General features: G+C 36.1%; 1 protein-coding gene across 2 annotated transcripts in view; it reads left to right on the top strand.

Moving 5' to 3' along the window:
• The window catches only part of ITFG1 (integrin alpha FG-GAP repeat containing 1), a 306,856-nt gene that overhangs the window by 233,115 nt on the left and 57,275 nt on the right, over positions 1-16,466 (top strand). For both annotated transcript variants that reach the window (NM_001305002.2, NM_030790.5), the window contains exon 14: positions 9,186-9,264. In NM_001305002.2, the coding sequence (NP_001291931.1) occupies positions 9,186-9,264 (79 nt within the window). The remainder of the gene's footprint in view (positions 1-9,185; positions 9,265-16,466) is intronic.

Below are 16,466 nucleotides of genomic sequence, written 5' to 3'. Positions count from 1 at the left end.
ATATGGATATTTTCTGCATTTAATATACCTTTTTACAGTCCTTTACTTACCTTAGTCAGAGGGAAAATATCTTGCAGTTTTCATTGGAAAATAACCAAAATTAAAGGAAATAATGTTTTATTTAATGTCTTAAAGAGCAAGAAACAATAAAAAATGTCAATATTAAACTAAATTGGGCATTACAGCTAACGTTAATGAAGATAAAGACAAATGCCAGTGAGTGTTCACTTAAAAAATAAACAGGATTTTTAAAAATTACCCTTGAGAAAAGTTAAGTCCACTCTATAAGTCAGCTATTTTTCTAATATTTTAGAATCATGAATTTCTATCATATAATAGCTATTGATTATACCTAATACAGTATCTTTTATATGTTTTTCCATTTTTATTTCATCATCCAGAGCCAATGATTTGAAGTATTATTTGCGCTCCACTATAGGAGCCCAAGACCTTGAAACAAACCCTAGGTAATCAAATAATTGACACTAATATAGAAACCACCATTTGGCTTACTAAAAAAGTCTCTAAAGAAAACAGAGGTATTCCAACCCCAATTTTATAAGACAATAGGCACACAAGAGATCAGGTTAGTTAGAAAGAATCTATATGATACAACACCTAAACTGCATTACATCAGTGTGACACATCCTAGAATGAGAAAAAGGGTGCCAATGATAGTCTTTTTTTACTGATAGTATGAAAAATTGAACCATCACTAATATGTCTAAATTTAACTTCCCTGAATTCTTTCAAACAAGCATCAGATGTGACATTTAAAAGGACACCCTAATATAACCCAAGTATGTAAAAGGTGTGAAAGATACAGCAATACTCCTTGTACCTTTATTGTATAGAAGAAACACAAAGTAAAAATTATTCCAGATCTCTTGGCATTTTCTATGAGCATAACTATTTTTAGTATATTTTGTAGTAAACATTCATATGGAGGTAAGTGAAGAAAAAAATGAAGTTTAATGCTATGACGTATGGGATAAGAAACCAAAAGACCTATAGGCCCAGGTATCAGTTGTATCATTTCAGTTGAGAAAGGAAATTGGGAATTGAATTGTTCATTATACAGATGGTGTAGAAGAGCAATTCTCAAACTTCTTGGTCTATGGACCCCAAACTTTTCTTTACATTAGATATATCTACTGACATTACTTTGTTTGAAATTAAAACTGAAATAATTTTAAATGATATTGTTTTTAAAAGATAACCCATTATATTAACATAACCAATTTTATTTTTTTAAAAACTATATTTTTCATATTAAAATATTAGGGAAAGAGAGGCATTGCTTTATGTTATTACAAATCTCTTTAATGCTTAGTGTAATAGAAGATAGCATATTCCCTTATCTCCTTTTACATTCAGATTTTTGTGGTATGTTGCCTTGGTTGAAATAGATGAAAAAAATTCAGCCTCACATAACTATGTAATAGAAAAGGGAGTGTTTTAATAGAAACCATCATTCTCAGCGAACTGTCGCAAGGAGAAAAAACCAAACACCGCATGTTGTCACTCGTAGGTGGGAATTGAACAATGAGAGCATTTGGACACAGGAACGGGAACATCACACACCAGGGACTGTTGTGGGGTGGGGGGAGGGGGGAGGGATAGCATTAGGTGATATAACTAATGCTAAATGACGAGTTAATGGGTGCAGCACACCAACGTGGCACATGTATACATATGTAACAAACCTGCACGTTGTGCACATGTACCCTAAAACTTAATATAAAAATACAAAAATTAACCGGGTGTGGTGGCGCATGCCTGTAGTCCCAGCTACTTGGGAGGCTGAGGCAGAAGACTTGCTTGAACCCCGGAGGCGGAGGTTGCAGTGAGCCCAGATTGCACCGCTGCACTCCAGCCTGGGTGACAAAACGAGACTCGGGTCTCACACACACACAAAAAAGTTATTTTGTTAGTAGTTGCTCTCAGGATTACAACTAACATCGTAACTTAGAAACAATCTAGTTCATATTAATCCAGCTTAATTTTAGTAGCTTGTAAAAACTTTGCTCTAACATATCTCAGTTTATTTACTCCTCCTCAATTTGTACTATTATTGTCAATACAAATTACATCTTCAAGCATTATGAGACCAACAAGATGGTTTTATAATTATTGTTTCAAACAATAGTCTTTTATATCAGGTAAGAGAAAAGAGCTACAAACAAAAATATATTTATACCATATTTACCTACAGTTCCTTTTTTTTTTCCAACTTCGTCTTCGCAGAATACTTAGAGTTACCTTTAACAGTACTCTTTATTTATTTGTGTGGATTCAAATTACTGTCTAGTGTCCTTTCAGATCAGCCAGAATTCCCTTTAATATTTCCTACAAGTCAGGTGTGCTAATAACAAGTTCTTTCTGGTTTTATCTGGCAATATGTTAATTTCCCCCCATTTTTGAAGGATATTTTTGCTGGATTTTAGACTTCTTGGCTGACAGTCTTTTTCTTTTAACACTTTGAATTTATCATCCTATTGCCTTCTAGCCTCCTGGGTTTCTGATGAGAATTGAGCTGTTAATCTTTCTGAGGATACCTTGTCCGTGATGAATTGCTTGTCTCTTGCTGCTTTCAACATTCAATCTTTGGCTTTCAAAATGTTAACTATGATATGATAGGCAGGGTTTGACTGTGATGTATCTTGGTGTGGATCTCTTTGAGTTTACCCTACTTGGCGTTCATTGAGCTTTTTGGGTGTACAGGTTAATGTTGCATTAAATTTAGATAGTTTTAGCCATTATTGCTTCACATATTTCTACCTCTTTCCTCTCTTCTGGGACTCCCATTATTGTTGGTATTCTTAATGGTGCTCCATATGTCTCAGAGGCTCTGTTCATTTTTTTTTTATTCCCTTTTTTTCTATCCTTCAGACTAGATAATATGAATTGACATATCTTCAATTTTGCTGATTATTTCCTTGCCAGGTTAAATCTCCTATTGAGCTTTGCTAGTTAATTTTTCATTTCAGTTATTGTATTGTAGAATTTCAGTTTTGTTCTATTTTGTGATTTCTCTTTATTGTTACTGTGGTGAGACACTGTTCTCATAATTTTCTTCAGTTATTTAGACATGATTTCCTTTCCTTTAATTCTTTGAAGAATCTTTTCTTTTTTGACAAGGTCTCACTCTGTTGCCCAGGCTAGAGTGCAGTGGTGCAATCATGGCTCACTACAGCCTCAACCTCCCAGGCTGAGGCAATCCTCCCACCTCAGCCTCCTGAGTAGCTGGGACCACAGGCACTTGCCACCATGCACAGCTAATTTTTTTAACTTTTCATGGAGACAGGGCCTCCCCATATTGCCAAGACTGGTGAACATGTTTATTATAGCAGATTTAAAGTCTTTGCCTAGTAAATCTAACATCTGTGCTTCCTTGAAGGCAGTTTATTTTGACTGGTTTTTTTTTCCCCGACGTATGAGCCATACTGTTTCTTTGCATGTCATAATTTTTTTTATTGAAAACTGGACATTTTTAACTATACGTCAACTCCAGAAATCTTCCCAGATTTCTCCCATTGCCTGGGTTTGTGGTTTTTGCTCTTATTGCTGTTTGTTCAGTAACTTTCCCAGACTAATACTGTAAAGTCTTCATTTTTTGTTGTGTGTTGCCACTCAGCTTAATGGCCAGCTGTGATGGCCAGAGATTTCCTTAAAAGAGAGGTTAGGCCCTTCTCCAGTCTTTCTGGGGCACGAACATAGTGCTGCATATGTTCATGGACTTCTAGATTCCCAGAAATAAGTGAGAGATTTTCAGAGTCCCCTGTGAATATCTCATTTCCATTTTTCCTTTTAAGATTTGGTCAACCTCTCATTAACCCCAGCTGATAATCACTGCCTCAGGCAGCTGCAATGTTAAACAATTGCTGATGATTATTTTCTTTTATTTATTTATTTATTATTATACTTTAAGTTTTAGTGTACATGTGCACAATGTGCAGGTTTGTTACATATGTATACATGTGCCATGCTGGTGTGCTGCACCCACTAACTCGTCATCCAGCATTAGGTGTATCTCCCAATGCTATCCCTCCCCTCCCCCCACCCCACAACAGTCCCCAGAGTGTGATGTTCCCCTTCCTGTGTCCATGTGTTCTCATTGTTCAATTCCCACCTATGAGTGAGACTATGCGGTGTTTGGTTTTTTGTTCTTGTGATAGTTTACTGAGAATGATGATTTCCAATTTCATCCATGTCCCTACAAAGGACATGAACTCATCATTTTTTATGACTGCATAGTATTCCATGGTGTATATGTGCCACATTTTCTTAATCCAGTCTATCATCGTTGGACATTTGGGTTGGTTCCAAGTCTTTGCTATTACAAATAGTGCCGCAATAAACATACATGTGCACGTGTCTTTATAGCAGCATGATTTATAGTCCTTTGGGTATATACCCAGTAATGGGACGGCTGGGTCAAATGGTATTTCTAGTTCTAGATCCCTGAGGAATCGCCACACTGACTTCCACAATGGTTGAACTAGTTTACAGTCCCACCAACAGTGTAAAAGTGTTCCTATTTCTCCACATCCTCTCCAGCACCTATTGTTTCCTGACTTTTTAATGATTGCCATTCTAACTGGTGTGAGATGGTATCTCATTGTGGTTTTGATTTGCATTTCTCTGATAGCCAGTGATGGTGAGCATTTTTCCATGTGTTTTTTGGCTGCATAAATGTCTTCTTTTGAGAAGTGTCTGTTCATGGGGTTGTTTGTTTTTTTCTTGTAAATTTGTTTGAGTTCATTGTAGATTCTGGATATTAGCCCTTTGTCAGATGAGTAGGTTGCGAAGATTTACTCCCATTTTGTAGGTTGCCTGTTCACTCTGATGGTAGTTTCTTTTGCTGTGCAGAAGCTCTTTGGTTTAATTAGATCCCATTTGTCAATTTTGGCTTTTGTTGCCATTGCTTTTGGTGTTTTAGACATGAAGTCCTTGCCCATGCCTATGTCCTGAATGGTAATGCCTAGGTTTTCTTCTAGGGTTTTTATGGTTTTAGGTCTAATGTTTAAGTCTTTAATCCATCTTGAATTGATTTTTGTATAAGGTGTAAGGAAGGGATCCAGTTTCAGCTTTCTACATATGGCTAGCCAGTTTTCCCAGCACCATTTATTAAATAGGGAATCCTTTCCCCATTGCTTGTTTTTCTCAGGTTTGTCAAAGATCAGATAGTTGTAGATATACGGCGTTATTTCCTAAATAGACATCTACAGAACTCTCCACCCCAAATCAACAGAATATACATTTTTCTCAGCACCACACCACACCTATTCCAAAATTGACCACATAGTTGGAAGTAAAGCTCTCTTCAGCAAATGTAAAGGAACAGAAATTATAACAAACTTATCTCTCAGACCACAGTGCAATCAAACTAGAACTCAGGATTAAGAAACTCACTCAAGGCTGGGCAGAGTGGCTCACGCCTGTAATCCCAGCACTTTGGGAGGCCGAGGCAGGCGGATCACGAGGTCAGGAGATCGAGACCATCCTGGCTAACATGGTGAAACCCCGTCTCTACTAAAAATATAAAAAATTAGCCGGGCCTGGTGGCGGGTGCCTGTAGTCCCAGCTACTCGGGAGGCTGAGGCAGGAGAATGGCGTGAACCTGGGAGGCGGAGCTTGCAGTGAGCCGAGATCGCGCCACTGCACTCCGGCCTGGGCGACCTAGCGAGACTTCGTCTCAAAAAAAAAAAAAAAAAAGAAAGAAACTCACTCAAAACCACTCAACTGCATGGAAACTGAACAACCTGCTCCTGAATGACTACTGGGTACATAATGAAATGAAGGCAGAAATAAAGATGTTCTTTGAAACCAACGAGAACAAAGACACAACATACCAGAATCTCTGGGACACATTCAAAGCAGTGTGTAGAGGGAAATTTATAGCACTAAATGCCCACAAGAGAAAGCAGGAAAGATCCAAAATTGACACCCTAACATCACAATTAAAAGAACTAGAAAAGCAAGAGCAAACACATTCAAAAGCTAGCAGAAGGTAAGAAATAACTAAAATCAGAGCAGAACTGAAGGAAATAGAGACACAAAAAACCCTTCAAAAAAATTAATGAATCCAGGAGCTGGTTTTTTTGAAAGGATCAACAAAATTGATAGACCGCTAGCAAGACTAATAAAGAAAAAAAGAGAGAAGAATCAAATAGATGCAATAAAAAATGATAAAGGGGATATAACCACCGATCCCACAGAAATACAAACTACCATCAGAGATTACTACAAACACCTCTACGCAAATAAACTAGAAAATCTAGAAGAAATGGATAAATTTCTCGACACATACACTCTCCCAAGACTAAACCAGGAAGAACTTGAATCTCTGAATAGACCAATAACAGGAGCTGAAGTTGTGGCAATAGTCAATAGCTTACCAACCAAAAAGAGTCCAGGACCTGATGGGATTCACAGCCGAATTCTACCAGAGGTACAAGGAGGAACTGGTACCATTCCTTCTGAAAGTATTCTAGTCAATAGAAAAAGAGGGAATCCTCCCTAACTCATTTTATGAGGCCAGCATCATCCTGATACCAAAGCCGGGCAGAGACACAAGCAAAAAAGAGAATTTTAGACCAATATCCTTGATGAACATTGATGCAAAAATCCTCAAAAAATACTGGCAAACCGAATCCAGCAGCACATCAAAAAGCTTATCCACCATGATCAAGTGGGCTTCATCCCTGGGATGCAAGGCTGGTTCAATATATGCAAATCAGTAAATGTAATCCAGCATATAAACAGAACCAAAGACAAAAACCACATGATTATCTCAATAGATGCAGAAAAGGCCTTTGACAAAATTCAACAACCCTTCATGCTAAAAACTCTCAATAAATTAGGTATTGATGGGACGTATTTTCAAGAAACTTTACAGTGATGGAGCTTGTTCACACAGAGCAAGCTCTCAGTCCATTAAAAAAAGACAAACCCTGAGAAGAGAGCTTTTCAGGGAGCTTCCGAAAAGGTCATATAGTGACATTTCTCTGGGAATGGATCTTTGGGGAGCTCTAAACCTGTTCTGCCCCCTCCAGTACCTGGTAGGCTCTTCATTTTCATAGCTACCCTACTTGCAAAGCTGTTGGTTTTCAAGGCTACTTCAGAGCTGGGGAGAGTGACATGGAAATAGAGCAATTTAAAACACAACAGAGGTAATTATTCTTACCAAAATTCAGCTATTTTTCTTAAATGAGTGCTCCTTGGATTCTTGCAAAGTTCTGAAAAAGTTGATTTCAACAACTTTCTGCCAGTATTCTCATTGCTTTTATTGAGGAGCAGATTTTTTTGAGGTCCTTACCATTCCAGAAGTGATTCTACACTACTCTGTTACACTAAAATATATTGGTCTACCTTGCACTTTAGATGGATCTTTTACCCGTGAATGGTTTTGTACTATCATGCATTGGTCATTTTGGAAATTTTGGTTTACTGAGTTATGCAGATCTTCCTCATGTTAACACATTTTATTGTATGATATTTTTAAATAACATTTGTTAATATTACCACTGATTGCCTCAGAACAGTTTCTTAAGTATTGGGAAGATATCAGGCTCACAGTGGCAGATGCAAGTTTTTCAAAATTAAAATATTCACTTAGAAGCTCAAATTTTATCATTAGCGACAAATACTGTCATTTGTTTTTCTGAAAGTGGCTGACTCACTCTGTCCATTTTCAAGAAAACGTTAGTTAGCTAAATACCCAAGTCGGAATATCCGTTGTTTGGTGCCACTGCTAATTACCCACGTCTTTGTTTTTGCTCTATTAATACAAATGTTAACTCAGTGTAAAACGCGAGATGTCTTAGTATTATTATGAAAATAGTTTTTACCTAATGTGACCTTCTGAAGGTATTTTGGGACCCCCAGGGGTTTCTTGTAACACTCTTTGAGAACCACTGTGTAGAGGAACTGGATCAGGATTTCTAGACCTTGTCTTCAAATATCAAAATGACTGGCCTGTGATGATAGGTGAGCTTCAGCTTTACAACTCATATCAGACACATGCTGACCTGATTTTTTTTAACTGAATACAGATAGGAAAGAAAACAATGCTTTTCCTTGCCCATCTGCAAGATAAGAATGTAGAGACAACATTTTGCTAATTCTCTCATGAAAGTAGTGTGTAGTACAAAGCGTAATATTCATCTTTCCACATAAAAATGTTTCTTAAGTTTATTTTGCATATTTGTGTGATTTCTTCATGAATCATTTAATCAATTAGTAATGTCTTATGAGTAATTCCATCCTTATAGCAACCTATTTTCTCATAGCCATTGGAAGCATATGGACTTCTAAAAATCTTAAAATATCAGTCAGGCAATTGTGATGTTGATGAAATCATATTACTTCTTATCATCCTGGAGAAAAATCATTTTTAAAGCATCAGTAGCCTATCTAAATGTCATTATTAACTTTTCTATACTTTTCTGGGAAGATCAGTAGAATTTTGAGGCTGAGAAAAATATTCAAAAGAATGTAAAGCATTTCTTAAACATTTTGTCATCTTAGGATGTCCATTGCAATCTTTGGTTTCTTTATGTTCTATTTAATTAGCCTTGGTTTCTAAAGAGAAGGAGTATATCATTTTATTCAAGGTTTGAGGAATGTTCCAGAAATAGGAAACAAGTTAGAGATAGACCTCACCATTGTAACTGAGGCACTGTCAATCCATCAGAATTTTCTTAAATGAAAAATAATGTATTCTCTAAATGTGCAGGAGTTTAAATGTGGTGGAACTAATCATCAGTATTTTTTATTCTATCGTAATTATTGTGGATGGATTTTATTTATGTTGATATTTTAGTGGGAAAATGTAAACCATGTCCAATCCCTCCCTGAAGGGAAAAAGCAATGCTATATTCAACAGAATATTTGGTCTTAGAAATACCCAGTTAAAATAACGAACTGAATAATTGCAACTATTAAATCATTTAAAGTCTTAAGAATTTTCTACTAATCAGGTTTTCTTTTTGTTTGTTTATTATTTTTTAACACTAAGATCCTAGGAAACAACAGGTTTTCTTTTGATGTGCTGTTAATGGAAGGGGTCTCTAAGTAACTGTCATCTGTGTAAGAATTTTTTGCTTTGAAAGAGATTTGCCTGAAACTTCCAATAATTCACTTATTTTCCAAGCCTTAACTATTTTTTTTTTCTATTGCAGCCCTTTGGAGTGAATCAACCTGGACCTTATATCATGTATACAACTGTAGATGCAAATGGGTATCTGAAAAATGGATCAGGTAAGACCAGATACATTGTCCATAATGTATAAAAGCTTCTTCAGTCAATATATTAGCAAGGTAAACTGGTGGAAAAAATTATGTTTTCACACTCCTTAATAACATCTTCACTTTTATTATACTTAGTCTTTCCATAGACTTACATTGGTAGATTATAAAAGGTTCTTATGACAAAAAATGTTCACTTTCAATTCTTCATATATCCCTATTATGATGGAGCCAACTCATTATCCTTATTTTTTAGTTGAAGTAGCAGAGAGATTGGGTGAAATTACTTGTGTTATCTTGGTCAGAAAGTGAAGTGCAAATTAGTTAATTAAGTTCATCTTAGAAGACGTATAAATTAAGAATCCAATTAATAGTATAATATAAACTACTCCTAGTTTTTTTTATTATATAGAATAGAAGCTGTAATACATAGAGAGGGTTTTTTGATATATTATTATAAAGAAAAAATCTGGTTATACATTTAAATAAATAATAAAGGAAAATGTAATTAAGACAATAAAAGAAATAAGATTGAGCAAAGGATGTCTGCTTTTAACAGATGGCTGACTGACTGAGGTTAGATCCAAATTACAGTAAATATAACTGTGATAATTCCAGTTATCTAAAGAAGAAAAGGAATCTGAATATGCTTCTTTTAAGATGCCTAGAGTTTTAACCATGAAGAAGTATAAGCAGAGTTGCTGTCACTCCTCTATTTTTTTGGCCAAAAAAGAAAAAGGAAGAACTCATTATATGGACATTGCCATGTTATGTAATGGCCTTACTAAATCAAATATACCCCAGAGTGAGTTTACTTTTTTAGCTAATTGCACACATTTAAGAGTCTCAGTTGTACTGCTTGCTTCAGCACAGAAACATTCCATATAACAAAATTTTTTTAAAAATTCAAGGAGAAATTGACAAACACAATTATACTTTATTTATTTATTTATTTGAGACGGAGTCTCACTGTGTTGCCCAGGCTGGACTGCAGTGGCGCGATCTCAGCTCACTGCAAGCTCCGCCTCCCGGGTTCCCGCCATTCTCCTGCCTCAGCCTCCCGAGCAGCTGGGACCACAGGTGCCCGCCACTACACCCGGCTAATTTTTTATATTTTTAGTAGAGATGGGGTTTCACCTGTGTTAGCCAGGATAATCTCCGTCTCCTGACCTCATGATCAGTCTGCCTCAGCCTCCCAAAGTGCTGGGATTACAGGCGTGAGCCACTGCACCTGGCCACAATTATACTTTAATATACCACTGTCAGTCACAGCAGTTCAAGATAAATAAGGATATAGATAATTTGAACAAATTACTTCTTTATGTTTTTAATTCATGTACATATTAAACCTTTACAAAAAAGGCTCTGGGACCAGCTGGTTTTATCAGTTAATTCTTTTAGACTTTGAAGATGCAGATGATTTCAGTGCTAGGTAAGATGTTCCAGAATACAGGATGACAAGATGAAGTTATTTATTGCATTTCATGAACCTAGTATAACTCGGGCAGAGCCAGCATACTCAAAACCAAAAACTAAGTTCACTGGTGGGATATCAATGAAAATCCTATCTAAAACCTAACAACTTAAATTTGTCTGTATTTTTAAAGAATTGCTTACTTAACGTAATCAAGTAGATGATTATCTAAGGAATGCACTGATGGCTTAAAATGGGAAAATCTCTTAATTGTTATAGCAGTGCATCAGTTTTTAAAATACTTTCTTTTTCTTTTTTTTTCATATAATGATACATTGTGTACATCTCTCCATATCTGTTCATACAGATAATCCTGATTTCTTTGGGGGCTATTTTGTATAAAGATACAATAGCTACTCTAGCCAATCCTCTATTTTTTGTTTTACTATAATACAACAATACAACAGTAAACATCTATTTGCATATATTTTTATGCAGTTAAATGAATAATTCAGGCCAGGTGCTCATGCCTGTAATCCCACCACTTTGGGAGACCAAGGCGGGTGGTTCACTTGAGGTCAGGAGTTCAAGACCAGCCTGGCCAACATGACAAAGCCCCATTTCCACTAAAAATACAAAAGCTGCACGTGGTGGCGGTCGCCTGTAATTCCAGCTACTCAGGAGGCTGAGGCATGAGAATCACTTGGACCTGGGAGGTAGATGTTGCAGTGAGCCGAGATCACACCACTGCACTCCAACCTTGGTGAAGGAGTAAGACTGTCTCAAAAAAAAATAAATAAATAAATAATAAAATAATAAAATAATTCTCACTTCATAGAAGAAAAGTTAATAAAAAATTAACATTTATCTTGAGGAATACAATTTCAAGAGATTCACTTTCCACTTTGTACATTTCTATAACTGTTGACTAGTTTTCAGTTCTTTTTCATTGTTTAAAAAAGATGCGCTGGGTGCAGTGGCCCATGCCTGTAATCCCAGCACTTTCGGAGGCCAAGGTGGGCGGATCACCTGAGGTCAGGAGTTTGAGACCAGCCTGGCCAAAATGGTGAAACGCTGTCTCTACTGAAAATGCAAAAAAAAGAAATTAGCCAGGTGTGGTGGCACATGCCTGTAGTCCCAGCTACTTCGGGAGGCTGGGGCAGGAGACTCATTGAACCTGGAGGCAGCAGTTGCAGTGAGCTGAGGGCATTGCACTCCAGCTAGGTGACAAGAACAAAACTCCGTCTCAGAAAAAAAAAAAATGGGATTCTTGATTCAGTCAACAAAATTTTCACCAAACTTATACTGCAAACTAGACATTGGCAACTAGTATTGAACTCCATTCAGTAATATTCACTACCCATTACTATTTTTTTAAGCGAATGGAACAATATTTACTTAGCATGATTTTTAAAGATCTACCCCAAAACAGTAATGGAACATTAGATTTATTCTTATCATATCTAATATTTACCTGTTTCTAGATTGGAGTAGAAATTGGGAGGGAATTTGTAGGCATAAAAGGAAATGAAAAAATATCTAAGGTAAAAATAAATGCAGTTGAGTGCATAAATCAAATGAATGCATAAATTTTCATGGCAGAACACTGAAAACAAAAATAAAAAGCCCTCACAAACTTGAAAAAAATCTAAATGTCTATAAATAGAGATATAATAAATTATCCCATTTTATAATATTCTCCAGACTGCAAAATATTTTAAGATAATTTTTGATGTTTATAATAGTTGGAGGAAGACATATCTGCATGTAAAATCCAAATTGTATGTGCGTTATTTTAAGTGTGTCTGTGTGTAGGAAAAATATATAAACAAAATGACGCATAAAATGTTACCACAATTATCTCTTGGTCATGGGAATGCAAATTGTATGTGTGTGATTTTTAAGTGTGTCTGTGTGTAGGACAAATATATAAACAAACTAACGTATGTTACTATGATTATCTCTTGGTTTTTGGATTTTATATATTTCTTTGCATTTTTGTTTACTAAATATATATTGCTTTTTAATTTAAGAAAAAGCTTTTAAAATATTTCAAACATATGCTGTATTTCATGCATAAAATGTATTCTAAGCAAGGAAGTAGCACTTAATTTAATTGACTGAGGGAGTGCCATCATGAAACCCTGCCCCAAATTTTAAAGGATGAAAATTCCCAGTTTAAATGTTAAGCATGTTGAACTCCAAAGAAACATTACTGGGCTAAACCGTACCTTCCATCCCATCCTACCCCATCAGCAGAGAATGTTCCACTGTAGGAAGAGGATGACTACATTTACGTATTTCGGAAACTACAGCCTTGGTTTTCTCCTAGAGCAGCTGAGAGTCACTCACTACCCATTGTCGGGTCATAAAATTAATGTAGTAGCTTTTAGAGTATTTTACTTAATAGAATAAAAGAGAACAGTAGAAAACAATCTATTGATCAGAGTACATCCCAGATGGTAAAGTATTGTTTCATGAAATTTTTATTTAGTTGTGCGTGCGTGTGTGTGTGTGTGTGTGTGTGTGTGTGTGTGTGTGTGTTTTCACACTGGGTAATAACATAGGATGTAGTTTTTATTGTGGGCTGTGATCAGAAAAGTTTGAAAACCACTGCCAGAGAGAAATAACAACAACAACATAAATTAATATTATTCAGTAAAGGCCTGGCCCAATTATCCTATTGCTTACAGATAGATTATCATTCTTACCCATTACTCTGCAGTCTTAGTCCATTTCCTAGCAAAGCCTGAATAGCCAAACATTATTAGAGAGTTACATTACAGAGGAGTCATTAATTTTCTAAATAATAGTTCCTGTAACAGATTTAAAAAATAAAAATAAAGTACATTTATTATGAACTTTTTAGGAGCTTAAACTCCTCTGGTTTTGAATCTAGGATTTTGTTTACTACTCTTGTAAATTAGCCAGGGATCTGCAATGGGCATCCAAATTGCCTAAACAATATTTGATAAGAACTTAATAGAATGGAGTACATTGGCAAAATTTTGTAGACTAGTGAGTTGTTGGTCATTTATGAATAACAACATTATTAGACCAAGAATTGCTTTTCTACCCCATAAACGACTTATTTGGCCATACTGTTTAAATCCAGAGCAAAATCATTTTCCTTTTTCCTCTGTGGTTACTATTTGTTAATATATCTGAGAAAAACATAAGTAACCTTTGCCTTCTGTGTACCCTTAGTGTATGCAAGAAGTGATGTTAAGCAATCACATGCTGTGATGTAGGGGAAAAAATATGTCTTCTACGACACACACTCATTCAACACAGAACACATCTGTGACCAGATATGTAGGGTTTTACCCCACATCAACCTGTTCTCCAACACAAGCTAGGTATCTCATAATTTAATTCAATTCTGACACTTTCTGGAGGCAGACTCATATCCCACAGTTAAGGGCTCAGTCTCACAAGATTTTCCCCACTTTGGATGCCAATCACAAGTCCAGGCATCCAGTATTTCTGATGGAGAGTCTATAAATTGGCATTTCCCATGACTCACTCCTTCATCAAGTTCAGTCATTTGCTGGAATGGCTCACAGAACTCAGGGAAACACTTACTTACATGTACTGGCTTATTATAAAGATATTATGAAGGATACAGATCAACAGCCACATGAAGAAATACATAAGGTAAGGTTCAGAAGGGTCCTGAGCACAAGTCTTGTGGAACCTGGGGTGCACCACACTCCCAGCCCATGGATGTATTCAGTAACCCAGAAGCTCTCCAAATCCTATCCTTTTGGGATTTATAGAAGCGTCATTGTGGAGGCATTATTGATTAAATTACTGGCCATTAGTAATCAGCTCAACCTTCAGCCCCCTCCCCTCCCGTGACATAGCAATTCTAATTGCATCAAAAAACAGAGCTGCAAAATGTATGAAGCCAAAATTGAACTGAAAGGCGAATAGACAAATCTACATTTATAGTTGGAGACCTCAATATCTCTCTCTCAAGATTTGGCAAACAGTTGGAAAATCAGCAAGGATACAGAACTCAGCAATATCATCAACCAACAGGATCTAGTAGACATTTATAGAATAATCTGCCCAACAACAGCAATACATTCTTTTCAAATGCCCATGGAGCATATACTAAAATAGACTGAGTTCTGGGCAATTAAAAAATTTTAATTTAAAAACCTCAAAAAATTTAAACAAGTGAAACCATAGAGAGTATTCTCCAACCACAATGAACTTAAAATAGAAATCAACAACAGAAATTCCTGTTGTAAAATCTCTAAACACTTGAAACTTAAACATCTTATTTCTAAATAATCCAGAGGTCAAAGAGAAATTTTCAAGGGAAATTCTTAAAATATATTGAGCTGAATGAAAAGAAAAATACAACATATCAAAAACTTGGGGACACAGCCAAAGCAGTGCTGAGAGGAAAATTATAACAATGCATGTGTATAATAGAAAAGAGTAAGTCTCAGATTAATAACGTAAGCACCCACCTCAACAACCTATGAATAGAAAAGCAAACCTAAAGTAAACAAGAGGAAGGAAATAAATAAGAGCAGAAGTTATTGAAATTCAAAACAGCAAAACAAAAGATAAAATCAGTTAAACAGGAAATAAACAAAATTGACAAATCTGTACCAGGACTGACCAAAAAAAAAGAGAGAGGAGACATAAATTGCCAGTGTCAGGAATGAATCAGATGACTCACTGTGGACCCTGAAGATATCAAAAGGATAATAAGGGAATAATATGCACATGCATTGGACATCTTAGAAGAAATGGACAAACTTCTTGAAAAACACAAACTATCACAAATTATCCAATATAAAATATATCATTTGAATAATCTTAAAATTACTAAGGAAATTGGGTTCATAATTTTAAAACTTGCAAAAAAGAAATAGGTAGACCCAAGTGGTAAGAATTATACCACACATTTAAAATACAGTTAACTGGTAGAGTGCGATGGATGGCTCATGCCTGTAATCCCAGCACTTTGGGAGGCCAAGGCGAGAGGATCACTTGAGTTCAGGAGTTTGAGACCAACCCAGGCAATATAGTGAGATCCTGTGTCTACAAAAAAATTTTTTTAAATAAGCCAGATGTAGTGGCATGTGCCCATAGTCCCAGCAATTCAGGAGGCTGAAGTGGGAGGATCACTTGAGCCCTGGAGGTCAAGGTTACAGTGAGCCACAATTGCACCACTGCACTCTAACCTGGGTGACACAGCAAGACCCCGTCTCAAAAAAATAAAATAGAGTTAACTTCAAATTCTGTACAATCTCCTTTAGAAAAAAAAAGGAAAATTTTCTGGTTTGTAGGTTTACCCTGATACCAAAACCAGACAAAGACAGTACAAAATCCCTGTAGACAGATAGTCCTCATGAATATAAATACAAAAATCATGATTAGTGGGACAAACATGGTAGCCCATGCCTGCAATCCCAGCACTTTGGGAGGCCGATGTGGGAGAATCACTTGAGCCTAGGAATTTGAGACCAGCCTGGGATACACAGTAAGACCCCTTCTCTACCAAAAAAAAAAAGAAAGAAAAAAAATTAGTGAGTAGAACACATACAGCATTATATAGAAATAATTATACACCATGATCAAGTGGGGGTTATGCCAGGGACACAATGCCAGTTCAAGATTAAAAAATCTATTAGTGTAGTACACCACATTGACAGAGTAAAGAAGAAAACAAACCACATGGTCATATTAACTGATGCCGAAAAAGCACTGAAGTTTAAACTATTCATGATAAAAACTGTCATAAAAATAGGGATAGAGAATAACTTCCTGAATTTGA

Source organism: Homo sapiens, chromosome 16 (genome assembly GCF_000001405.40).
Source record: "Homo sapiens chromosome 16, GRCh38.p14 Primary Assembly".
NCBI classification, from domain to species: Eukaryota; Metazoa; Chordata; class Mammalia; order Primates; family Hominidae; genus Homo; species Homo sapiens.
This window is presented reverse-complemented; position numbering and strand designations above follow the sequence as displayed.